The sequence below is a fragment of the Homo sapiens genome, chromosome 6 (genome assembly GCF_000001405.40).
Source record: "Homo sapiens chromosome 6, GRCh38.p14 Primary Assembly".
Classification (NCBI taxonomy): Eukaryota; Metazoa; Chordata; class Mammalia; order Primates; family Hominidae; genus Homo; species Homo sapiens.
The window spans coordinates 121,454,122-121,481,308 of record NC_000006.12 but is presented as its reverse complement, the minus strand read 5'-3'; the positions used below and the strand labels follow the sequence as shown (position 1 = coordinate 121,481,308).

The 27,187-nt window shown below is 38.9% G+C and overlaps 1 pseudogene, besides 2 other annotated features; it reads left to right on the top strand.

Annotated features, from left to right (window-relative positions):
• Positions 2,021–3,142, top strand: LOC260339 (transcription factor A, mitochondrial pseudogene; annotated as a pseudogene).
• Positions 14,022–14,191: an enhancer, noted in NCBI's record as "experimental_89387 CRE fragment used in MPRA reporter constructs". NCBI's record gives its function as "activates a minimal promoter by MPRAs in K562 erythroleukemia cells, with activity observed for both the introgressed and non-introgressed 6:121788349 or rs4579388 variant alleles {active_cell/tissue: K562}" and the evidence as "EXISTENCE:reporter gene assay evidence [ECO:0000049][PMID:34662402]".
• Position 14,106: a transcriptional cis regulatory region, noted in NCBI's record as "Neanderthal adaptively introgressed variant 6:121788349 (GRCh37/hg19 assembly coordinates) or rs4579388 in the experimental_89387 CRE". NCBI's record gives its function as "modulates activity of the experimental_89387 enhancer by MPRAs in K562 erythroleukemia cells {active_cell/tissue: K562}" and the evidence as "EXISTENCE:reporter gene assay evidence [ECO:0000049][PMID:34662402]".

Sequence of the window (27,187 nt, the reverse complement as noted above, 5' to 3'; positions counted from 1 at the left end):
TCTCATTCAATATTGTGGATTTTACTAGTTTTTCTTTCAGGGTCCATCTTATTTCTCTAATTTCCACATGTTTGGAGTAGCACACATTTTTTCCAGGTACCACTTACAAACTTTATTTTTGGTCATACATTAACCTTTTGAGTAGAATTTGATTGGAAAAAAAGGTATAAATTTTGTCTCATTTAATTAATAAAAATATGCTATTTTTTACTTCTACTCCACAAAATATATTTGTATCCTCAAAACTGTACATCTACATGTTACGAAGTAATGACAAGGCAAATATTAATGGCTAAAATTGTACTCACTCATTAAGTAGATAGTGGGGCCATTCCTACAGGACCCCTGCTAAGAAGCAGATTTGGGGGGAATATGGTTAGTTTTATCCTGAACATGTTATGTTTCGCATTCCTGTGAGATATTCATGTATTTTCCAGGAGACAGTTCTGGGCCCAAAGGAGGGAACTGTTTATGCTGACACATGCTTCCCAAGGATCAGGCAAGGACAGAAACTGCCCCTCAGTATTTTTTTGTTTTGTTTTTCTTTGTGTTTTTTTGAGACAAGCTGTCACTCAGTCACCCAGGCTGGAGTGTAGTGGTACAGTCTCGACTCACTGCTACCTTTGCCTCCTGGGTTCAAGCAATCCTCCCACCTCAGCTTCTGGAGTACCTGGATTACAGGTTTGTGCCAGCACACCAAGCTAATTTTTGTATTTTTAGTAGAGACGGGGTTTTGCCATGCTGCCCAGGCTGGTCTTGAACTCCTGACCTCAAGTGATCCGCCCACCTTGGTCTCCCAATGTGCCGGGATTACAGATGTGATCCCGGCCTGTCCCTCAGTTTTGACAATTCATGAGTCGCTGGTGACCACGGTGAGAATAGTTCCTCTTGAACACTCAGCAGAAGCACGATTTCAGCGTGTGAAAAGGTAAGTTGGCCTTGTTTAAACAAAGTATAGATGAGAATCTTTCAAGAAGTTTGGCGGTGAACCGGAGGGAAAGGATAGCCCGGTTGTTACTGGACGGAGGCTGAGGTGGGAGAAGTTCCCTTTCGTTTGGTGTTTCCGCAGGAGGAAGTCGGCATGTTTGAACGCTGAATGCAAAGTGCCTAAGAAAAGAAGAGGTTGAAGACACTGCAGACATTCTATTAAAATATTAACATTACAAATATTTGCATAGAAATTTAAAAACTTGATGTCTTTTTTACGCATTACTCAACTGTAAAACAAAATCGTGTGATATTTTCTAAAAGGGATCTTTAAAAACAAAACGAAAACAGAGAGGCGGAGTGAGTGTTAGGAGGGTCACACACTCAAGTGGGAAGTATCGTCATTGGGATTGTTTTACTGCTGGGGGGACTCTAAGAGACTGGGGCGGGCCACTGCATCGTCTGCAGGTGCGGTAGTGGCTTCTCAGGATGTGCAAATGTCAGTGAGTGCCCAGGAAAAGTCAGGAGTGGAGCTCAGCGCCTGCTGTGGAAAGCGACTGCAGTTTCCCCTGTTTGATGTATATGCCCACATAGTTTTCATCCATCTTGGCTAATTATCCAAAGAAGCCTTTGACTTCATATCTTTGATTTTCAAAACAAAAACAAGGCCGAGCGTGGTGACTCATGCCTGTAATTCCAGCACTTTGGGAGGCCGAGGCGGGCAGATCACTTGAGGTCAGGAGTTCCAGATCAGCCTGGCTAACAAGGTGAAACTCCGTCTCTAATAAAATACAAAAACCGGGCGTGGTGGCGGCCGCCTGTAATCCCACCTACTCCGGAGGCTGAGGCAGGAGAATCGTTTGAACCAGGAGGCGGAGGTTGCAATGAGCCAAGATCGTGCCACTGCACTCCAGCCTGGGCAACAGAGCCAGACTCCTTCCCAAAATAAATAAAATAAATAAAAATAAAAATAAAAAAACCCCACAGCTACCCATATTTAAAGCTCAATATCTATATCACTCTGTGGATGTACTTTTAAAATAAATAAATAAATAAAGCTTAAAAATCCAGATTTATGAAGGTGCTTAAAGGGAGCAGAATTCATGAACAGCTATCTCCAAGCCATATCATAACTTTAGAAAAAGAAATAATGCAAAAACTTTTAAAAACTGTTAATTTTGGCCTGGCGAGGTGGCTCACGCCTGTAATCTCCGCACTTTGGGAGGCCGAGGCAGGCAGATCACGAGGTCAGGAGATCAAGACCATCCTGGTTAACATGGTGAAGCCTTGTCTCTACTAAAAAAATACAATAATTAGCCGGGTGTGGTGGCGGGCGCCTGTAGTCCCATCTACTCGGGAGGCCGAGGTGGGAGAATGGCATGAACCCGGGAGGCGGAGTTTGCAGTGAGCCGAGATCGAGCCACTGCACTCCAGCCTGGGTGACAGAGCGAGACTCTGTCTCAAAATAAAAAAAAGAAAAAACTATTAATTTTTAAAAAGAAAGCATTAATAATGCTTGAAAAACTGAAAAGACTTTGCTCAGCTTATAACATTTTTATATCTGAAAGCTTCCAAGATGCTAAGGATGGTTCATCACAGGCAATGTTAATGATTGTAAATGAAAATTTAAAAAATTCTGTCTAGTCTCAAAAGCAAGTATGTATTTAACTTGCTAAAGATGATAAAGTTTTTTTTTGTTTTGTTTTTTTGTTTTTTGAGACAGAGTCCTGTTCTGTCACCCAGGCTGGAGTGTAATGGCACGATCTCCGCTCACCGCAAACTCCGCCTCCCAGGTTCAAGTGATTCCATTGCCTCAGCCTCCTGAATAGCTAGAATTACAGGCGCATGCCACCACACCTGGCTAATTTTTGTATTTTTAATACAGGCCGGTTTCGCCATGTTGTCCAGGCTGGTCTCAAACTCCTAACCTCAGGTGATCCACCCACCTCAGCCTCCCAAAGTGTTGGGATTACAGGCGTGAGCCACCACACCCGGCTGATGATAAGATTTTTATGATAATGAAGTCTGGAGAAGAATTGAAGTTGGGCAAAATGACCATATGCATTGCAAAATGAAACATCAAACAAGCAGTGGCACTGCAGGGTGTTAAAATATCAGATTCAGTTGTGTTCATAGACTCAAGAAACAGTTAATCTCAATATACAAGACAGTTGTAAAATTAGGAAGAATAAAGTTGGTAAACATTTTATATTTAATTATTCAATTCATTTTACTTTAGCCCATGTACTTCAGCCAATTTGCTACATTTTATATCAGTCTCTTGCTGGGAAAACCCAAACAGATATAACACATGCTAAATTGATTTCACAATTAGGGACTAGTAAGGATCAAAATAATCCATGCAAATATAATAGTGAATCACTTCGCCTTTTAAAAAAGATAAATCAGACCATGAACTTTTTTTATGCTGGGTGACTTATGGAAAAATTATTCTTTCCTTACATTAGGAAGAAGTCTGCTTTTCAAAATTGCCCCAAATTATAGAAGCCAGAGTGTTCTGTGATATAATTTTGTGTTCTTCACAAGCAGGCAGAGGCATCTAGATAAATTCTAATTTCTAGGTATAATTCATATTGTATTCAGAACTGATAACTGCACAAATAATTGTTGGTTTCATTTATAACTTTTTATAGCAGAGAATGAGAGATTTGTAAACTTTTTCCCTACATATTTTTTCCAAAAGTAAAAAATGTAGAACCTATACATCAAATCTATGTATATGGATTTATTTATCTATTTATTCATTTACTTATTTATTTTGAGAGGTAATCTCTCTCTGTCGCCCAGGCTGGAGTGCAATGGGGCAATCTCAGCTCACTGCAACCTCCGCCTCCTGGGTTCAAGCAATTCTCATGCCTGAGCCCCCTGAGTAGCTGGGATTATAGGCGCCCGTCACCATGCCCGGTTAATTTTTCTATTTTTAGTAGAGATGGGGTTTCACCATGTTGGTCAAACTGGTCTTGAACTCCTTACCTCAGGTGATCTGCCCACCTGGGCCTCCCAAAGTGCTGGGATTACAGGTGCAAGCCACTGTGACTGGCCTGTAATATGGTTTTATATTGTACAGAATAAAAATTGCAACCTTTGCTTAAAAGAAGATCAAATAAGCCTGAGGAAATTCATAGTATGCCATTGATTTATCTTTATTATAGTTTAATGGAACAATTTGATAAGAAGACATATCTAATATAGCTTAGATGAACAGCTTATACAGGTTCAGTATCCCTTATCTGAAATACTTTGGACCAGAAGTGTTTGGGCAGATTTTGGAATATTCATATTATGCTTATCGGTTCAGCATCCCTAATCTGAAAATTAAAATTCAAAATGCTGCAGTGAGCATTTCCTTTGAACAACATGTTGGGCCTCAAAAAATTTCATATTTCCAGTGTGTGTAGATGGTGTCACCTGGAGCTTGAGTGGCTACACATGAGTATCAAAGACAATGGCCAAGAACAAATTAAGTGGGCAGAAGTATAGGAATGTATTCGCATTGCCAGCCAAAAAATCTTTAAGGCTAAAAAGAAAATAAAACCAGTTACCACTAATTTTTTTTTTTTTTTTGAGACGGAGTCTCACTGTGTTGCCCAGACTGGAGTGCAGTGGCACGATCTCGGCTCACTGCAACCTCCACTTCCCGGGTTCAAGCGATTCTACTGCCTCAGCCTCCCGAGTAGCTGGGACTACAGGCACGCACCACTGTGCCCAGCTAATTTTTGTATTTTTTTAGTAGAGATGGGGTTTCACCATGTTGGTCAGGCTGGTCTCAAACTCCTGACCTCCTGATCCACCCACCTGGGCCTCCCAAAGTGCTGAGATTACAGGCTTGAGCCACCGTGCCCAGCCCAGTTACCACTATTCTTAAAAAGATAAACATTGTGAATGATGAAAAAGTTAACAGAGTGAATAAAGTTTTCATACATATATTAAAAAAAACTTGCATACTTCTCAAAAGGTCTTCCTCTTGAACCTCTGCAGAAAGGACTGAGGGAGGGTCATGAAAGCAAACCAGTTAAGTTGATGAAGCTCCAAGATTAAAGACTCAGTTGTAACACACAGGTCACGCATCTAAAAGACTAGTACATTAAATGTGTTATATTTTAAAGTTTCCAATTTTGAGGCTGTGCACGGTGGCTCACGCCTGTAATCCCAGCATTTTGGGAAGCCGAGGCGGGTGGATCATGAGGTCAGAACTTGATACCAGCCTGGCCAACATGGTGAAACCCCGTCTCTACTAAAAATACAAAAGTTAGCCGGGCGTAGTGGCGCGTGTCTGTAATCCCAGCTACTCGGGAGGCTGAGGCAGGAGAATTGCTTGAACCTGGGAGGCGGAGGTTGCAGTGAGCTGAGATCACGCCATTGCACTCCAGCCTGGGCGACAAGAGCAAGACTCCGTCTCAAAAACAAAACAAAATAACAAAAATGTTTCTGATCTTGGAACATTTTACATTTTGAATTTTCAGATTTGGGATGCTCAACTTGTAATTATAAATGGTCTTAAGTCTTGTAAGCAGTTGGTATTTATTTACTGTGGTTGATTTTACAACTCAGTGATGAATGTTTCTTACATAAAATTAGCGATCAAGGAAAATGAATGTTTAAAGAGCAATTGCAAATTTCCAAACAATTTAATGAACCTTCTCCTTCAAATCAGATTCATTATAGTTACAATGAAAATTAAAAAAAAAAATTTTAAACACTAATTATATAATAAGGTTGTTTATGGTTATCTAGTTGTAACACTGATTATTAAATCTATAATCATCACAAATCAATTTTAATATCCCAAATTTTTACTTTGTTCAAAATAACTGAGAAATTACAGTCACCAGATACTTGTACAAGTGTTTACATTATGTTAGTGTCCAACCTAGATTCTTTGACATAAAAAATATTTCCAGATTTTTAATTATTGTTTTAATTTCATTTTACAGGTATATTTAAAATTTAATTAATAATGGTCTAATTATCAATGTTATTAAACAGAGTAAAGTTTAAATATTTATTAAGCTGTGAGATGATGAGGTTATGATGTTAAAATTTATCTTTAGTTTTCAAAGTGACAGTGAAAAAATTTACCCCAGACAACTCTCCAAGAATTGTACTGAGTTTTCAAAATATAACCAATTGCCTAATTCAAATGACTATAAGATAAAAAGTGTCCAGGTGAGGCGGCTCATGCTTGTAATCCCAACACTTTGGGAGGCCGAGCTGGGAAGCATTGCTTGAGCCCAGGGGTTTGAGACCAGCCTGGGCAACGTGGTGAAACCACGTCCTACCAAAAGCACAAAAATTAGCCAGGCATAGTGGTGTGTGGCTGTAGTCCCAGCTACTTGGGGAAGCTGAGGCTGGAGGATTGTTTGAGCCTGGGAGGTCAAGCCTGCAGTGAGCCATGATCTCACCACTGCACTCCAGCTTGTGTGACAGAGCGAGACCCTGTATCAAAAATCAAAAACAAAAAACCCAAAAACAAAAAGATAAGAAATGAGCATGAAAACATTTTTCTCCCTTCTCCTAAATCTTCTATTTATCATTTGCAAATCATGTATCTACTTTGGAGGAAGGTCACTGATGAGACCAATTTGAACGTGATATAGAGGACTAAAATTGTCTGAAAACCTCCAATTACAAAATTAGAATATCTATTTGAGGTAATATTTAACATTTTCTGTAAATATTAATTTTAAAATTTATTTAATTAAAATTTAATTCTTTTTTTTTTTTGAGACAGAGTCTCGCACTGTTAGGCTAGAGTGCAGTGTCGCGATCTCTGCTCACTGCAAGCTCTGCCTCCTGAGTTCATGCCATTCTCCTGCCTCAGCCTCCCAAGTAGCTGGGATTACAGGTGCGTGCCACCACACCTGGCTAATTTTTGTATTTTTAGTAGAGATGGAGTTTCACCATGTTGGCCAGGCTGGTTTGAGCCCAAGGAGTTTGAGATCAGCCTGGGCAACATGGCCAGACCCCATCTCTGCAAATACTACTAATAATAAAATAGCTGGGTATGGTGGTGTGTGCCTGTGGTCCCAGCTATTTGGGAGGCTGAGATGAGAGGATCACTTAAGCCCAGAAGATTGAGGCTTCAGTGAGCTGTGATCTCACCATTGCACGCCAGCCTGGGTGACAGAATGAAACCCTGTCTTAAAAAAATAATATAATAAAAATAAAATAAAAATTTTCAAGAGGACTAAAGTCTTACATTTTGTAATTCAGTGTATAAAAGTCCCTAAATTATGCAAATTCCAAAATCTCATTTTTAAGCATTTTTTAAGTGAATGCAGTTTTCCATACAATGCTGTAAGAACTTATATTTATTTATTTATGTATTTACTTATTTATTTTGAGACGGGGTCTTACTCGTCACTCAAGCTGGCATGCAGTGGTTGGATCATGGCTCACGGAGCCTCAACCTCCCGGGCTCTAGCAAACCTCCCACCTCAGCCTCTATGGTAGCTGGGACTACAGTACATACCACCACACCTGGCTAATTTTTTTTTTTAGATGGAGTCTTGCTCTGTCACCCAGGCTGGAGCGCAGTGGTGCGATCTTGGCTCACTGCAAGCTCTGCCTCCCGAGTTCACACCATTCTCCTGCCTCAGCCTCCACAGCATCTGGAACTACAGGTGCATGCCACTATGCCCAGCTAATTTTTTTGTACTTTTAGTAGAGACGGGGTTTTGCCGTGTTAACCAGGATGGTCTCGATCTCCTGACCTCGTGATCCGCCTGTCTTAGCCTCCCAAAGTGCTGGGATTACAGGCATGAGCCACCGCGCCTGGCCCACACCTGGCTAATTTTTGTATTTTTTTGTAGAGAGGAGGTTTTGCCATGTTGCCCAGGGTGGTCTTGAACTCCTGGGCTCAAGTGATCTGCCTGCCTCAGTCTCCCAAAGTGCTGGGATTACTGGCATGAGCCACCACACACAGCCAAGAACTTATTTTTAAGGAAGAATAAAAGGCAGATAATAATACTGTGTCAGAATTGGCAATGAAAAGCAAATAATTTAACATGGTAAGAATGGAAAAGAAAAAATTAATAACAGATTGAAAAGTAGCTCATGATTCATGAAGGAAAACATATTTATTTAGAAAACAATAAAAAAGGCAATGTTTGTGAAGGAGATGGTGATACATTTCCAAGCACATTGGCAGCTAATTCTTGTGGTTCTCCTTTTATGCTTTTAAATTCAATATGCTTTTAAATTCAAATAACTATTAGACACACACACACACAACACACAAACAGCCCATGTACACAATCCATGGCATCTTTTCTACATCTATTCAATAAAAGGTCCTAAAAGTAGTATCACCTTCAGGGCTCCTTGAAGAAATGACATATTCTAGGGCTGGGATAGAGGGTTAAATATGAACTTGAACATCTTGTGGTGCCATAAAGTAAAGAAGTGCTCAGAAAGTGATGGAGGTATATCGAAGAACACAAGAGCAAGACTGAAATGGTTCCCACAGGCCAAATCTGGGACAATTTGATTATCAAAATTCAGGATGTGACAAATGAATCTAACTATTACAAATGTAGGACATAATGTCTCTGAAGTAAGGTGGAAAAAAAAAAAGCTGTCCTAAAGATCTTTAAAAAACAGTATTTTGGCTGGGTGTGGTGGCTCACGCCTATAATCTCAGCACTTTGGGAGGCTGAGGCAGGAGGATCACTTGAGGTTGGGAGTTCAAGGGCAGCCTCTGGTCAACATGGTGAAACCCCGTTTCTACTAAAAAATACAAAAATCAGCCAGGTGTGGTTGCATGTGCCTGTAATCCCAGCTACTAAGGAGACTGAGGCAGGAGAATCACTTGAGCCTGGGAGGCAGAGGTTGCAGTGAGCCTAATTGCACCACTGCACTCCAGCCTGGGCAACAGAGTGAGACTCTGTCTTAAATAAATAAATAAAATAAATAAATAAATAAATAAAACAGTATTTTGATGGAAGCTGTAAGACTGAAGACTAAAAAAAAAGTGCATTCACATTATACTCTAGTTTGTAAATTTGTGTCTTACTGGAGTATAGTTTGACAATTCTGAAGTACTTTACATCTATAGTAGAGATGAACACATAAGCAAATTAATGGTAGATAATGGAAGCCAGGTTTCTCACTGTCAGAGAAATTACAATCAAGACGGGAGTCTAGAATGAACCATGTGGTACCGGGAGTTGAGTTGGAGACCTCAGTATGAACCCATGTAAATTTAGTTTTATAGACGATAGATAGGTAGATAGATAGATATAACTATAGATATATGTATATTCATTGGTTAATAGACACATACATATTCCCTAGTACTGTTTACTTAGGGTCAATGATATTCCAGTAACGACAAGTACACCTTCGTCCAGATCTTGGTTTCCAATGCTATTTTCAATAGAAAGAAAAAAATGCTTTTCTAGGACCAGGGCAAAGAAAGTACACGATGAACCTGGAGCATTTTTTAGTACAATTACACAAAAAACAAAAACATAGGGACATGTCAAAGGTATACAGTAGCCAACCTGAAAGATCTCTTATTAGCCAAAGCTGAAAAGATTTGAGTAACACCATAAATAAAATAGTATTGGATTAGATTCCAAAATGTAAAATACACCTGAGCGCACACTTTCTTTTTTTTTGTTTGTTTGGACAGAGTCTCACTCTGTCGCCCAGGCTAGAGTGTGGTGGCTCGATCTTGACTCACTGCAACATCTGCCTCCCAGGTTCAAGTGATTCTCATGCCTCAGCCTCCCGAGTAATTGAGATTACTGGCACAGGCCACCTTGCCTGGATAATTTTTGTATTTTGAGTAGAGATGGGGTTTCACCATGTTGGCCAAGCTGGTCGCAAACTCCTGGCTTCAAGGGATCTGTCCACCTCAGTCTCCCAAAGTGTGAGCCACCATGCCCGGCCCTGAAATCCTGAAATCATACTTATATAAACAAATAACTGAATTAACAAATGAAGGAGATGAGATGATAGGCAATTCTCCTCTTATAGATGAATTCCAAATAATGTATGCAGCTATTCTCCCACCAGGAGATGGAAATTAATCCCTTCTCTCCTTGAGTGTGGGCTGGACTTAGTGATTCAGTGTCAAAGAACAGAGTATGGAAAAGGAAAAAAATAGTAGCTTTACAATAGAGAGAGACCTGGCGGACACTATATTTAGCAAGCGATCAAGGTTAACAGCACCCAGTGATAAGTTATGCTGATACCGTATACTCCTCAAGAAAGTGTGAGAGGACACCTTACTTCTGTGGTATTCTTTCAATAAATAAACAAATAAATAAGCAAACAAATCCACTTTAAATATGAAGTGGTAAAAGGACATGATATTAACTTACCCTCACATGTTTCAGAAAAAATACCCACACAATGTGTTTGTGTTTGTGTGTATATAAATTTTTCCTGGTGTTCCAGAGAAAATGATAAAAGAAACATGGCAAATGTTAACAGCTGGTGAACTGGGATATGAGGTATATTGAAATTCTTTATACTTGCAACTTTTCTAAGGTTTCAAGTTATTTGAAAATAAAATTTAACAAAATTTAAACTAACATTTTTTCTCTTTTCCTTGTTTTTTGTTTTGTTTTTTGAGACAAGGTCTCGCTCTGTTGCCCTGGCTGGAGTGCAGTGGCACAGTCTCAGCTCACTGAAGCCTTAAACTCCTGGGTCCAGTGAAACTCCCACCTCAGCCTCCCAAGTTGTACACCACTGTATACAACTAAATTTTTTTGCTTATTTTTTATAGAAATGAGGTCTCACTATGTTGTCCAGAACGGTCTCAAACTCCTAAGCTCAAACAATTGGCCTTCCTCAATCTCCCAAAGTGCTGGGATTACAGGCATAAGCCACCATGCCTGGCTCAATTTTTCTTATTATAGAGTTAACATATTATCATTGCAAAATAATTTTTGAGAAAGGAAATCTAATTTTTTTTTTTTTTTTTTTTTTTTTAGCAACAAAGGTCTTGCTCTGTTGCCCAGGCTAGGAGTGCAGTGGCATGATCATGACTCACTGCAGCCTTGAACTCCTGGGCTCAAGCAATCCTCCCACCTCTACCTCCGAAGTAGCTAGGACAACAGGTGCACACCACCACACTTGGCTAATTTTTATTTATTTATTTTTTACTTTTTGCAGACGTGGGACCTGGCTGTTTTGCCCAGGCAGGTCTTGAACTCCTGGCCTTAAGCAATATTCCTGCTTTGGCCTCCCAAAGTACTGGGATTTTAGGCACGAGCCACCATGCCCAACTGTTATAGTGTTATTTGAAGTTGGATTTAGGTTAGTCGTAAATGTATATTGCAAACTCTAAAGCAACCACTAAAAATTGTTTAAGAAGTATAATTGATATGCTAAGAGAAGAGAGAAAATTGAATTACATAAAATACTCAGTTAAAGCCAGAGGTGGCAGAAAAAGAGTGCAAGAAAAAAAGAACAGGAGCAATGATAGAAAATAGGTACAATATGCTTGATATTTGTTTCCCAAGTGCTCAGAAACATGGGACTATTACTATGGTGGTGGCTACAATTTTTATTTCTTCTGTTTGGATCATTCTGGTCACCTGTTGCCAAGGATTCTAATACTTAGAAATTGTTCCTGCTGTTCCTGGTTATCAGAAGAGTGGAAAGAATGTACACATTTGGTTATAGATACACATTCAGTGATGTATATCTTAAAGCAGAGCTGCCTTGAGCTTCTAACCTCTTATAGGAGTTTCAGTGAGATACTCCTTTGCTATTCCCCAAAACTTCTCTCTAGGATAAAGACATAAATGCATAGAAACTGGGTCAAGGATCATCTGTATGACAGACACATCACTGTAGTCTGAATCACTGCCCCTTCCTTCTCTCGCTGAGATAATGTCATTAAATCAAACTCTATTCATTTACTCTGAGAAGATATTATGTGTTCTCCACATCATGGAAGGTACTGCTGACCAGTAGTGAATATAACTCAGTTCCTGCCCTCAAGAAGTTTACATTCTAATAGTGAAGGTAGAGAACAAAAATAACAAATTAGGCCAAGCGTGGTGGTTCTTGCTTGTAATCCCAGCACTTTGGGAGGCTGAGATGGGTGGATCACCTGAGGTTGGGAGTTCGAGACCAGCCTGACCAATATGGTGAAACCCCATCTCTACTAAAAACACACACAAAAAAACTAGCCAGCCTGTGGTGGCGGGCGCCTGTAATCCCAGCTACTCAGAAGGCTGAGGTGGGTGAATCAGTTGAACCCAGGAGGTGGAGGTTGCAGTGAGCCGAGATCGCACCACCACTGCACTCCAGTCTGGGTCACAGAGAGAGACCCTGTCTCAAGAAAAAAAAAAAAAGAAAGAAAAAGAAAAAACTAATTGAAATATAGTATAATAAATGCTATGGCAGAGAGAATTACAGATGATTGTAGAAACATAGCGTAGATGACAGGAATGATCTAGAAAAGGTGTGTGATCAAGGTGAGTCTTGAAAGATGAGAAAGGATTACCTACATGAAGAAATGTGTTGTAGACAGTGTGGACAACATATGCAGAAACATGGAGTTGACAGAGCCTGACATTTCCAGGGCTATGCTAGCACCCTTAGAATAATTTCTTTTCCAGAAGGCTCCTTTGTTCTTTTTACATTGTGACCCCTTTCTGGACCTGCACCTCAATCTATCAAATGTACAGGGGCAATTCTTAAGTAGAGGGTCAATAGTTAAATTGCAAAGTGGAATTATGCCTGAACAAAAATCAACAGCATTTTTAAAAAGAGAATACAAGACGTAAAATTAGGAGGAAAAAAAGAGTTGATAGAAAAGAGTCAGCGCCTAACCACCACCACCACCACTTTCCACCAAGATGTCAGGAGGTACCATGCTCCAGATGTTTGGTTCTAGGACAATGGGTGGCCTGAGGAGATGGTGTGCAATCAGACCATGCAGAAGATATTTGTATTAGCACATTTGTGAATTGAGAGCTGCCAATACTTTTGTAAAGTGTGAGAAAACACAAGCCTTTATCAGCAACTGAGCAAAATGATGGTGCTACCTTTTCTAATATGACCCTATCCAGCAAGTTGTCACTCTTTGCTGCATAGACAACTCCAACCAGGCATGGTAGTGCACACCTGCAATCTCAGCACTTTGGGAGGCCAAGGAGGATGGCCCAGACCAGCCTGGACAACATAGTGACAGCCCCTCTCTACAAAAAATTATTTTTAAATAATAATAAAAATTTTTAAAAAATTAAAAAATAACTCCTGAATGTATCTAATGATCTGATGTCCTATGTTAGTCTTCATTATTCAGTTGACCTAACATGCAAGATGTTTGCCAGTAGAAGATTGTTAGTTGTGTTTTTTGAGGCCTATATCCTGGACTCCCACATTTCAGTATCCCCAGAAAATCCAGCTAATTTGTCTTTAATTTCCTTTTCACCTTGATACACAGTGTCCTACCCTGAGTTGAGAAATCAACCAGTTACCCCTAAACAACCTGAGATGTCAAAACCTCTTATACCCCTTACTATAAACAAGTTAAGCAAATTGCAAAAGCTAGAAATTTCATCCACACGGTATGTACAAATTTCAATAAATCATGAACTTAACATGTCAAGGTAGAGCATGAAACTAAAATAATTGGTCATCTCAAGTTCTTTCTGCAATGGGGCTTAATCTCAAAGGAAATAATTTTTTATGGCATGAATGAATGTGCATAAGCTTAACTCCTCACCTTTCCTTCCTATTCTGTTCCTTCTTGATCAAGGTTTCTAAATCAATAATATGTTTTTGAACTCTTACCTTGATTTCATAAGCATTTTTATCTCTAGCTTCACATCTTCTCACTTTTCCCCTGGATTCGATTCAAAAGCCAGCAGAGGAAAGTGTTCTCATCTGTTGCTTAAATCACAGAAGTGCAATTCTCCTTCACAGTATTTATTTTATTTTGCATTATGTCCCAGTGGTTTACTATAAAGTAATTTCTTTCCTTGAATTAACTTTTGACATAAGTGGAAGTATTGAGTAGATTTGGTTTCTAGATTTGTTTTTAGAAATTTTGATGTGGAGAAGGCAGGGAAATAGTACATTACTCCAGAAATAACTGGTTTGCCTAAATCTTTTATGTTTGATGTGAGCCTGTGACCCCAAAATTTGGATTTAGAAACATTATTTTTACTCTTGTAAAGTTAAAAGAACCTGAGGCTGGGCGTGGTGGCTCATGCCTGTAATCCCAGCACTTTGGGAGGCTGAGGCGGGTGGAGCATGAGGTCAGGAGTTCAAGACCAGCCTGGCCAAGATGGTGAAACCCCATCTCTACAAAAAACACAAAAAATTAGCTGGGCACAGTGGCAGACACCTGTAATCCCAGCTACTCGGGTGGCTGAGGCAGGAGAATCGCTTGAACTCGGAGGGCGGAGGTTGCAGTGAGCCAAGATAGCGCCACTGCACTCTAGCCTGGGCGACAGAGTAAGACTCCATCTCAAAAAAAAAAAAAAAAAAAAAAAAGTTAAAAGAACCTAAGGTAGCATCTAGAAGAACAAATAAGAACATCTTTAAAAACTGATGTTAAAATGGTAGATTAATGCCCTTCTAGATAATAAAGCTATCTAGATAATAAATAAATATTGAAACCTCCTCTTCCCTTCTAGATAATGAAACTTACTCTGAAATTAAAATAACTTTTTTTTTTTGAGATGGAGTCTCGCTCTGTTGCCCCCGTCTCCACTAAAAATAAAATAACTTTTGTGAGCCCATTATAACATAATACTAGACACAGTTCAATGAAACAGATTTGATGGACCAGAACTGACTCTATTATATGTAAATTATACTATAGGAAGCATCACAAATCAATGAGAACAGATGGACAATTCAAAAAACCACGTTGGCTAAAAAAATCAATGTCATAGAAAGGGTTGGAAGGGACTAAAAGACACAACAAAATGTAACATATGGACTTTGTTTGGTCTCAGAGACAAACAAATCCATTATAAAAAGATACTCTTGAGCTATCAGAAAAATCTGTATATGGACTTAGGTGATAGTAAAGAATTATTGTTTATTTTTGTTTTTATTTAAAAACAAAACAAAACATTTTTAAAAACAAAAACAAACCAACTTCATTGCCTAGGCTGGAGTGCAGCTGCACAATCACAGCTCACTGCAGCCTCAACGTCCCAGGCTCAAGCAATCCCCCACCTTAGCCTCCTGAGTAGCTGGGACCATAGGTACTCGTCACCATGCCCAGCTAATTTTTTAACTTTTCGGAGAGACAGAGTCTTGCTATGTTGCCCAGGCTGATCTTGAATTCCTGGGTTTAAGCTACTCTGTTATCTTGGCCTCCCAAAGTGCTGGGATTACAGGCATGAGTCAATGTGCCTGGGCTAGGAATTATTGTTAATAATAATTATTGTAAATTTTGTTAGGTGAGATAAAGGCATGAAAATTATATTTTTAAAAACAAGATGTCTTTCTCAGGCAAAGAAACATACTAGATTATTTACAAGTGAAATGACTAGATGTTTCAGGTTATAAAGAAAAAACAGGCAGACAGCCCCTTCTCTGCTGTACTTGCCCACCCATCATAATAAAATAAAATAAAAAAGAAAAGAAAAATAGAGGGAAAGAGATGAAATAAGGAAGGCAAATTATCATTGGTGAAGAATGAGAATTTATTATATTATTCTTGCTATTTTCATGTACTTAAAAATGTCTACAATAAATAAGTTATTACAAAAACACTGAAATCATTTTTTCAAATAAAATCTCATGTTGAAACAGAAAGAAAAAGCATTTATATTTCTGGTGGAAAGAGAGGAGAGGGCTATAAACCTCTTCCAGCTCTTCATGCTTTCCCAGGAAAGCCCCTAAAATGCCTCCATGGAACTTGGTTTGAAAACTACTGCATCTGTTTTCGCTCTTTCATCCAACAGCTGAGGCTCTCTCCAAGTCCCGTAGCTTCAGAGTTGACCATTCCCATCCCACAGCTGACCGCTTTGTGAGCGCCTGCTGTACTCACCTCCCTGCCCAATCCCCTCTTCACCTTCCCAGGTAGGGATCTGCCTCATGTACACCACACTGACTTCACCCTTCCCTTGCTCTTGGGGCCTGACAACTTGGTAAATATGTTACTCATCATTCCATTAGTATCCTTTGTATGCAGAATATTTCACCATAGGACTAACCAGGGTAGTTTCCATCTTAATAAAGAACTGTTGTTGGAAAGAAAAGAGTATTGAGGCAATTGGTCAACTACTGAGAAGAAAATCGATATATGTCTTAACGTACACTGTACTCTGAAGACACAAAGGTAACAAAAAGTCAAATGTGAAATAAAAACAAAAGCATATAATGAACAGCTAAAATACTGTGGTTAAATATCAAATCCCTGGGTGAAAGAAAGATGAAACCTTGGAATTTTGAAAGTAAAGATCAAGAATTTTGGCTACAGAAATTTCATGTCAAAAATGCAAATGTTTTAAAACTTAAAATCACATAATAAGCTAGAAAAAGAGTCATAGCAAAAAAAAAACATAGTTAACGTTTTTATTATATAAAAGAGCTCGTAAAATCATCACCACCACAAAAGAATAAGAGGCAATGATCATAGGCATTTTAAGTGAGAAAAATAGCATATACATGTTTACATACATATTATTAATATAGCTATTAATTAAATGTAAATTTAAATATGAGAGTTTTCACATACAAAACAGGAATTTTTTTTTAAGTACTAATATAATTCTTGTTAGGTTCAAAGAGTCTTTAGACTGTTCAAAACTTTGATTCTAATTCTTAGAATTTAACCTAAAAAAATTAAATTAAAAAAATGAACAAAGTTGTTCATCAAGTGTCACCTATAATAGCAAAAAATTCAAAAGAAACTAAATATTTAACAATAGAATGATTGGATAAATAATGGCACAAATGCCCAATGACATTTTTATTTATTTATTTATTTTCTTGAGATGGGGTCTTGCTCTGTCACCCTGGCTGGAGTGCAATGGCATGTTCAAAGGTCATTGCAACCTCGAACACCTGGGCTCAAGGGATCCTCCTGCCTCAGCCTCCTGAGTAGCTGGTACTAGAGGCATGTCACTGCACCTAAATTTTTTTTTTTTTTTAAATTTTCTGTAGAGTTAGGGTCTTGCTTTGTTGTTCCAAACGACATTTGAAAAATGCTTATGTTGGCCGGGTGCAGTGGCTCACACCTGTAATCCCAGCACTTTGGGAGGCCAAGGCAAGCAGATTGCCTGAGTTCGGGAGTTCAAGACCAGCCTGACCAACATGGAGAAACCTTGTCTCTAATAAAAATATAAAATTAGCCAGGCTTGGTGGTGCATGCCTGTAATCCCAGCAACTCGGGAGGCTGAGACAGGAGAATCGCTTGAACCCAGAAGGCGGAGGTTGCAGTGAGCCGAGATCGCACCATTGCACTCCAGCCTGGGCAACAAGAGCAAAACTCCATCTAAAAAAAAAAAAAAAAAAGACTGGGCGTGGTGGCTCATCCCTGTAATCCCAGCACTTTGGGCGGCCGAAGAGGGCAGATCACTTGAGACCAGGAGTTCAAAACCAGCCTGGACAACATGGTGAAACCCCATCTCTACTAAAAATACAAAAATTAGCCAGGTGTGGGTGGCACATGCCTGTAATCCCAGCTACTCAGCAGGCTGAGGCAGGAGAATCCGTTGAACCCAGGACATGGAGGTCGCAGTAAGCCAAAATTGCACCACTGCACTCTAGCCTGGGTGACAGAGTGAGACTCTGTCTCAGAAAAAAAAAAAAAAAAAAAAAAAAAATGCTATGTTGGCCAGGCATGGTGGCTCATGCCTGTATTTCCAGCACTTTGGGAGGCGGAGGTGGGCAGATCACTTGAGGTCAGGAATTCGAGAGCAGCTTGGCCAACATGGAAAACCCCATCTCTACTAAAATACAAAAATGTGCTGGGCGTGGTGGCACACACCTATAATCCCAGCTCTTCGGGAGGCTGAGGCAGGAGAATTGCTTGAACCTGGGAGGCCAAGTTTGCAGTGAGCCAAGACTGTGACACTGCACTCCAGCCTGGGAAATAGAGCAAAACTCTGTCTCAAAAATAAATAAATAAATAAATAAATAAATAAATAAATAAATAAAGCTCATGTTAATGCAAAAATGCTTATGTTAAAGGTTAAGTCTAAAAAAAAAGAAGGATGTCGATTTTCATATTAAAACTATCACTAATATTTTCAATTTAAAGGCAAAACAATTCATAGATTCAAGAATATTGAAACAAAAACTGTATAGTCATTCTCTCCTTTGGATGTTCAGATTAAAGGACATTGTTTTCTTCTTGTCTTTTGTTAACATTTAAGTTTCTTTAAAGTTTTCTATAATAGATATTTATTACTTTTATCATTTAGTTAAAATTATTTAGAAAAGTTATATGCTCATGCAATTCCTCCCTCCTGCCCTTCTCTGCTCCCACCCATCACCAGAAAAGAAAATTTTTTAAAAAGAAAAGGTATATGCTGGCTGAGCATTATATTATAGCTCACACCTGTAATCCCAGCACTATGGGAGGCTGAGGTGGGAGGATCACTTGAGCAACGGAGTTTGAAACCAGCCTGGGTAATAAAGTGAGACTCTGTTTCTAAAAGGACTTTAAAAATTGGCTGGGTGAAGTGGTGCACACCTGTAGTCCCAGCTACTCGGGGGCTAAAGTGGGAGGATTGCTTGAGCCCAGGAGGCTGAGGCTGTAGTGAACCGAAATCACACCACTGCACTTCTGCTTGGACAATAGAATGAAACCCTTGTCTTAAAAAAAAAGTATATATATATATATGTGTGTGTGTGTGTGTGTGTGTGTGTGTGTGTTATATTTGATATATATATGCTATATTTGACATATATATGCTACATTCACAATTGAATGATTCATTTATTTACAAAAGAATAAAATAGAATAAAATAGAAGTTAGGCTATCTGAGCTGCTTCTTGATATTCATGCTAATACAATTTGTCATATTAAAATGTATCTTGTCCTTAAGTTACAGCCCTTTGGGCTGGGCACGGTGGCTCACGCCTGTAATCCCAGCATTTTGGGAGGCCGAGGTGGGCGGATCACCTGAGGTCCGGAGTTCGAGACCAGCCTGACCAACATGGAGAAATCCTGTCTGTACCAAAAATACAAAATTAGCCAGGCATGGTGGCCTATGCCTGTAATCCCAGCTACTCAGGAGGCTGAGGCAGGACAATTGCTTGAACCTGGGAGGCAGAGGTTGCAGTGAGCCAAGATCACGCCACTGCACTCCAGCCTAGGCAACAAGAGTGAAACTCCAAGTAAAAAAAGAAAAAAGAAAAAAATTACAGCTCTTTGTATCAAGCAGGTAGCTAGGCAGAAAGTGAATAGGAATTGCTGAGGGCAGATGAATTAGAGGTCTCTGACTGAGCTCTTATTTTTCCCTTAACAAAATTCTCAGAAATTATGAAAGACAAAATTTCATATTATTCTGAACAAATAACTGCCATCATATTCATGACTTTTTCTATCATGAGCCAAACATAATATCAGTATATTATATAGCCACATGCTGTTTATGGAGTGCAGTGACATATCTGAGATATGTGCAAGTATTGTCAGTATTATTTGTAATAATGTCAAATGGAGGAAAAACTTGAGAAGCCCAATAATAAATAAATAAGTTTACTACAGAATAATCACCCTGTGGCATATTATGCAGCCATTAAAAATGAGGTAGGTCCATATATTTTTTGTTTTTAAAAATTTTTTTATTAATTTATTTTTTAAATTTATAGAAACAGTATCTCACTATGTTGCCCAGGCTGGTCTTGAACTCCTGAGCTCAAGCAATCCTCTCACCTCAGCTTCCCAAAGTGCTGGGATTACAAATGGGATCCCATTTGTAAGGTCCATATATATATATATATATATATATATATTTTTTTTTTTTTTTTTTTTTTGAGAAAAAGTTTTTGCTTTTGTTGCCGAGGTTGGAGTGCAATGGCGTGATCTCGGCTCACTGCAACCTCCGCCTCCCGGGTTCAAGCGATTCTCCTGCCTCAGCCTCCCAAGTAGCTGGGATTATAGGCATGCGCCACCATGCCCAACTAATTTTGTATTTTTAGTAGAGACAGGGTTTCACCATGTTGGCCAGGCTGGTCTCGAACTCTGACCTTAGGTGATCCGCCCACCTTGGCCTCCCAAAGTGCTGGGATTATAGGTGGAGACACCGCGCCTGGCCAGTAAGGTCCATATATTTTAACATGAAAGATTATTATAAATATAAATAAAATGACTTACAAGCTATAGGTATATCTATGTATAATCTGGCTACCTTTAGGAAGAGGATTGAAAGGGGCCTTTGCTTTTTACATACCTCTACTTTTGTTTGCATTTTTGTGATAAGAGGATTTCTTTTACAACTAAGGGAGGAAAAGGAAAAGAAAAAGAAAAGAAAGGAAGAGTGGGAGGGAGGGCAAGAAGGGAAGGAAGAATAAAAAAGAAGGGAGGGCCGGGCGCTGTGGCCCACACCTGTAATTCCAGCACTTTGGGAGGCTAAGGCAGGCGGATCACGAGGTCAGGCGATCAAGACCATCCTGGCCAACCAGGTGAAAGTAAAAATACTAAAAATTAGCTGGGTGTTGTGACGTGCGCCCAGCTACTCGGGAGGCTGAGGCAGGAGAATTGCTTGAACCCGGGAGGCGGAGGTTGCAGGGAGCCGAGAGCACCATTGCAATCCAGCCTGGCAACAGCAAGCCTCTGTCTCAAAGAAAAAAATAAATAAATAAAAAGGAAGGGAGGAAGGAAAAAAGGAAAGAGAATTTGCAGCCACTGTCACCATTTAAATGTAGGGTAATTCCTTAGAGCTCACCTTGACTATCCAAACAGGGTGTTACACCCCGGCACTATCTTAGTAAAATCACTGCAGGCCAGGGTATGGGTCCAAATTTTGCAGGTGAAATGGCAGTTTACCAAGAAAAGGCCTATTTCTGGAAGGCACGTCTTATGTTGTCTCCAAATATGAGTAAGATATGAAAACTAGGAAACCACTGCATACATTTATAATTAGAAATAGGTGTCAGTACTGAACCAGAGCCTCACATTCTTTAATTGTCCTAGTCCCTACTACAATAAGGTCATTATTAGCTGAGAGTAGAGTAGTTAACAGTATGCAGACCTTGACTGGACCACTTTGGGTAAGTTACTTACCCTCAGTTTACTCATCAAGTGAAGATACCAGTACTTATGTCTCAGGGTTGTTGTGTAGAAAAGCAAATACTAACATACTAATGAGGTAGTTTGGGAAGCACAGAAAAAGGGAAAAGAATTTTGATGATGTGAATGACTAATTTCAACCTATTTATCTATTTCCTTAACAGAGATATATCTGACAAAAAAACAAAGAGTTCTACCTGCTTCAACTGCATTTATTAATTAGCAGGTGACAATTGGTAGGTATTGTTGTTAGTACTACACTGCACAAACTGTTAGACTCTGGAGACACAGCAGAGAGTAAGACAGAAATGGCTTTTGTTTTCATTGTGAGTACGATATACTAGGTAAATAAAATACACTGAACAATTCAGTACACATAATGATAAGAAGAGAGCAAGATGCCATGGGAGCGTAAAATGGGCAGCCCAGGGAATCAGAGAAAGGATCTAGGAGGAAGCAAGATTTAGCTGGGAATTGAAGAACAGGAGTTACCTAGGTGAATGGGGAGGAATGTGATTTCGGCAGAGGGCAAAGACCACAGGTAGGAAGAAACTCAGAGCTTTGGAGATACTGGAAAACCTCTACAACAGCCACAGCTCAGAAAACTATGAATGATGATGGATGAGACTGCAACAAGAGCCAGGATCCAGAGAATGTAATAGCTTTGAGGCCTACTGAAGGATTACAGTCATCATTTCAACAAAGACAAAAGGGCCTGGTGTGGTGGCTCACACCTGTAATCCCAGCACTTTGGGAGGCCGAGGTGGGCAGATCATGAGGTCAGGAGATCGAAACCATCCTGGCTAACATGGTGAAACCCCGTCTCTACTAAAAATACAAAAAATTGGCCAGGCGTGGTGGCGGGTGCCTGTAGTCCCAGCTACTCAGGAGGCTGAGGCAGGAGAAAGGCGTGAACCCGGGAGACAGAGCTTGCAGAGAGCCGAGATCATGCCACTGCACTCCAGCCTGGGCGACACAGTGAGACTCCATCTCAAAAAAAAAAAAATAAATAAATAAATAAATATATGTGTGTGTGTGTGTATATATATACATATATATTATATATATGTATATATATAATATATATATTTATATATGTTATATATATTTATATATAATATATATGTACATATATATAATATATATATTTATATATGTTATATATATTTATATATATTATATATGTATATATATTATATATAATATATATTTATATATAATATATATATTTATATATATAATATATATAAATACATATATATGTATTTATATATGTATATATATTTTATATATATACATATATTTATATATATATAAAATAAAGACAAAGGAAGCCATTATAAATTTCTAATGAAAATTAATTTTATTTCCCTTCTCTATTCCTTTCCTTGATCTGTTAATAATATTTCTTCTAGCCAGATGCAGTGGCACACACCTGTAAACTCAGCTACTCAGGAGGCTAAGGCAGGAGGTTAGCTTGAGCCCCAAGAGTTCAAGGCTGTAATGCACTATGATTACATCTGTGAATAGCCACTGCTACACTCCAGCATAGCAAGACCCTGTCTCTAATAACAGTAATAATAATACTTCTAGCTACTTTATGGTGGGGACACATTCTAACCTTTTTGTAGGTTGATTTTTTACTCATCAAATTCTCAGAATTCTGAAGGTGACTTACTATACCTGCCTATCTGTTGTAGGTACTAAATTTATTTAAAGTTCTTGGCTGGGCATGGTAGCCGACGCCTGCAATCCCAGAATTTAGGGAGGCCTAGGCAAGAGAATCTCTTGAGGCCAGGAGTTTGAGACCAACCTGGGCAACATAGCGAGATTCTGTCTCTAAAAAAAACAAAACAAAACAAAACAAAAAAAATTAGCCAGGCATGTGCACCTGTAGTCTTAGCTACTCAAGAGGCAGGAGGATGGCTTAAGCCCAGGAGTTTGAACTGTGATTGTGTCTCGAGCCACTGCATGCCAGCCTGGGTGACAGAATGAGACTGTGTCTCTGAAAAAAAAAGTGAAGCTCTTCTGAGCTTGTTTACTTTTTATATTTACACTGTTATTTTCTAGCCCTCACATATCACATTTAACGTAGTGTAAGACACTAAGACTTGTTTTCCAGTGGTCTTGTGATTACACAAATTGACATATCCTTGTTTTACTTATTAAAACTCTGCAGAAGTAGAAAACACCGACATAACGTTTTGACTTTCAGAATTTGACTGTGTACTGGATTTTTTTTTCCTGGAAGCACTACTTTTCCCTTTGTTCATTTCCCTTGAAATAAATTGTAACCATTAGCTAATGCCTCTCATTTATCAAGGACTTACCACATGTCCTATGCGCTTTACACACACCTCATTAAATCATCACAACAACTTTGCAGGAATGAATTTTTATTTTTGTTTATAGTTTGGAGACTGAGCATCAAAGGTTATGCATCTTATTCAAGGTCATATAGTTAATACATGAGAAACATTTCCTTGAGTAATCAGTTTCTGCTTACCTGTGCTTCTGCCAGCCTCAAAAATTCCTAGATCCATAAATTTCAAATTAAAACTATATATATCACTGGATAGACTTTCATTAAATTCATGTTTGACATTGTGGTCATTGAAAAACACGAAAGGAAAAGTATTCTATTCCTTAAGCCTCTAGCCCACAAGCAACTAAAAATATACAAAATTTGATCATTGATGAAAAACACATATTACTTGCTATACATAGAAATGAATGGTAAAAATAAAAGTAAGAGCACTATGTCCAAACCCTCAATACAGCTTTGCCCTGACATATGGTTGTATTTATGGTTTTTGGGGGGATACGAAAATAAACAAGAAAGGACACAAGACTTGTTTAAAGTACCATCTTTTAAAATGTTTAGTGTATAAGGATGAACATAAAGCCAAATCTTATTGAACATGGCAAGAATTTTTTCAGATACACGTTTCTTGCAAATTTCTCATCTAATCCTATTTACATCATTTTTGCTTGAAATATCTTTTCACTATAGAGCATATTTTTATTGATTATCCAAGTTTTGTGAGGCAACAGAGTTTATGTCCTACAAATGTTGGAAATTCCCCAGAAATCCTGAGATTTTTGGAAAATCTTAAGACATGTATGTTTCTAATTCTTGAAAATATTTGTAGTGTTAATGTACTGTGGCTTTTAAAAATAGAGCCTGTCTTTTAAAGATCATCTTGTATTTAGTTACAAATTGGGAGGGTTGTTGTTTTATGTATATATATATATATATATATATACACATATATATTTTTTTTTTTTTTTTTTGAGACGGAGTCTCGCTCTGTCACCCAGGCTGGAGTGCAGGGGCGCAAGATCTCGGCTCACAACAAGCTCCGCCTGCCGGGTTCACACCATTCTTCTGCCTCAGCCTCCCGAGTAGCTGGGACTACAGGCGCCTGCCACCACGCCTGGTGAATTTTTCTATTTTTAGTAGAGACGGGGTTTCACCGTGTTAGCCAGGATGGTCTCGATCTCCTGACCTTGTGATCTGCCTGTCTTGGCCTCCCAAAGTGCTGGGATTACAGGCATGAGCTATCGCGCCCGGCCAAGATATATTTTAAATGAAAAACAAAATGCAGACTAAAACCTGAAGTGATCATCAGGTTATCTTTGTCACCACAAACTATGTGCTTAGCACTGTGTTAGGCTGATTCATAACAAATTGAAGGAGTGATTTTTTTCTTTTAATAATTCATTTCCAAAGCAAACATGCAGTTGGCAAACAAAGAAAAAACTGTAAATTCCTCTGATTTGTTCATTTTTCTTTTTTATTAGAACTGCTTTTTCCTTCTTACATATAAGAAGTATATAAAGATTTTTACTTTTATATATAGATTCCTACAGTAAAATTTTTCTTTAATTAGGTATAACTTGTAATAGATTCTTTAGCTCCTTTTGTCTCACTCATAATAGCTAATTATCATGCAGAATCATCAGTTTAAAGGCAGAGCTTTGTTATATTGCTGACTAAAAATCACTGGTCAGAAGCCAAGTGGCACCCTCATGCCCACATTTGCCATGTTTGGAGTTTTAGATAACCATCACCTACAGTTCTTATACCCTTTAATTATAAAATACTGCAAGTCCTTCAGACAAGTGAGCACCAGAATAAAGATGAAAATTAAAGACAAATTTTAATGGTTTTCAATGACACTTTTTTTTTTTTTTTTTTTGAGACATAGTCTCACTCTGTCACCTAGGTTGGAGTGCAGTGGCACAAGCTCGACTCACTGCAACCGCCACCTCCCGGGTTCAAGTGATTCTCCTGCCTCAGCTTCCCGAGGAGCTGGGACTACAGGCCTGTGCCACCACGCCTGGCTAATTTTTTACGTGTGTGTGTGTGTGTGTGTGTGTTTTTAGTAGAGACGGGGTTTCACAGTGTTAGCCAGGATGGTCTCCATCTCCTGACCTCGTGACCCACCCGCCTCGGCCTCTGGAAGTGCTGGGATCACAGGCATGAGCCACCGTGCTCGGCCAATGACACTTTTTAATTACAAAGGTTAAACGTCTGCTACATTATTCCGAAGTTACTATTGAATTATTTAACTTGGCACTTGTTTGTTAAAAGGACAGCAAGGTATAAGATGTCAAGGTATAGATGGCAAAGAAAAGTGTTTGATACCACACATGAGCAAACAAAATCTGACAAGCTGTTCTAAATGTTAGAGCAAGGGTGGAAGGAATTTGATAGAAGCTTTATACCATTTAATCTGTTTTGACTTCAACTGTAGATTAAGGGTGAAAAAAAATGACAGTCGAAACTTTAGTTTTGAACAAAACGTGAGAGGAAAGTAGATCTTTTAAGACCTCATGAATCAAAAAATTCTAGCGAGAGGCTAGACTGAAGAGACTAAGGGTATGGGCCAGGCACGGTGGCTCAAGCCTGTAATCCCAGCACTTTGGGAGGCCAAGGAGGGCGGATCACGAGGTCAGGAGATCGAGACCATCCTGGCTAACATGGTGAAACCCCGTCTGTACTAAAAATACAAAAAATTCACGGGGCGTGGTGGCCGGCTCCTGTAGTCCCAGCTACTCGGGAGGCTGAGGCAGGAGAATGGTGTGAACCCGGGAGGTGGAGCTTGTTGTGAGCCGAGATCTTGCGCCTCTGCACTCTAGCCTGGGCGACGAAGAAAGACTCCGTCTCAAAAAAAAAAAAAAAAAAAAAAAAAGAAACTAAGGGTATGAAAAGGGTATGAAAATGAAGAAGAAATATACAATTAAAAGCTCTAAACTGAAATAAATAACTTCAATCATTGTATAATTTCTTATATCTGCAGTCATTTTTAAAATTATGAATTATAAAATTATAAATTATAAGGTATTTCAAATATACAGAACATAATGTAACAGGCAAACATCTGTGGTAGTTTTAACTTACATTTAACTATAGATGACAGGATGCTGGATGTATTTACATTTAATTTCCAGATTGCTTCAGTCTCACTGAAATTTGAAACTCATAAATGCAAGGTGGTTCCCCTCAAAGATTTTTAAATTACCTGCCCCCCAAAAGGGAGTCATTGACAAGCTTTTGAAAAATATAGAAAATTGTCCCAGAAGAACCACTGTCTTTAATCAGGTGTCTGCTGGTGTCTATCTTTGAATAGGTCCTATAGTGAGTAGCTTGGATGATTAGCATTTAATATGCTAGAGAATTATTAAGTCCATTTAATTCTAGTTGCTCTAAATTGAGGGAAAGTTGAAATTGAGCCACAACTACATCAAAGTCTTCCAAGGCAATGGCCAATTTAGATTCTGAGACTCTGGTGAGAGTTAAAGCTTTAAGTTCTGTGTTAACAAATCTCAGTATTTTACGCTTACCCTCTAGAGTTCTTTGAGTTAGCCTCAGTTGCAGCCATTTTCTGATAATTTGACCTGAAGGTTAAATTCTTGTAGGGAAGGGTTTCTAAATTAGTTAACTGTGTTTAGGATTAATAAATATTCCTGAAAATCTGAAATGTATAACTCTAAGTTTTTCAAAGCAGAAAGCAATCTTACATTTCTCTTTATTTGCTTTTAAAATAAAATACGCA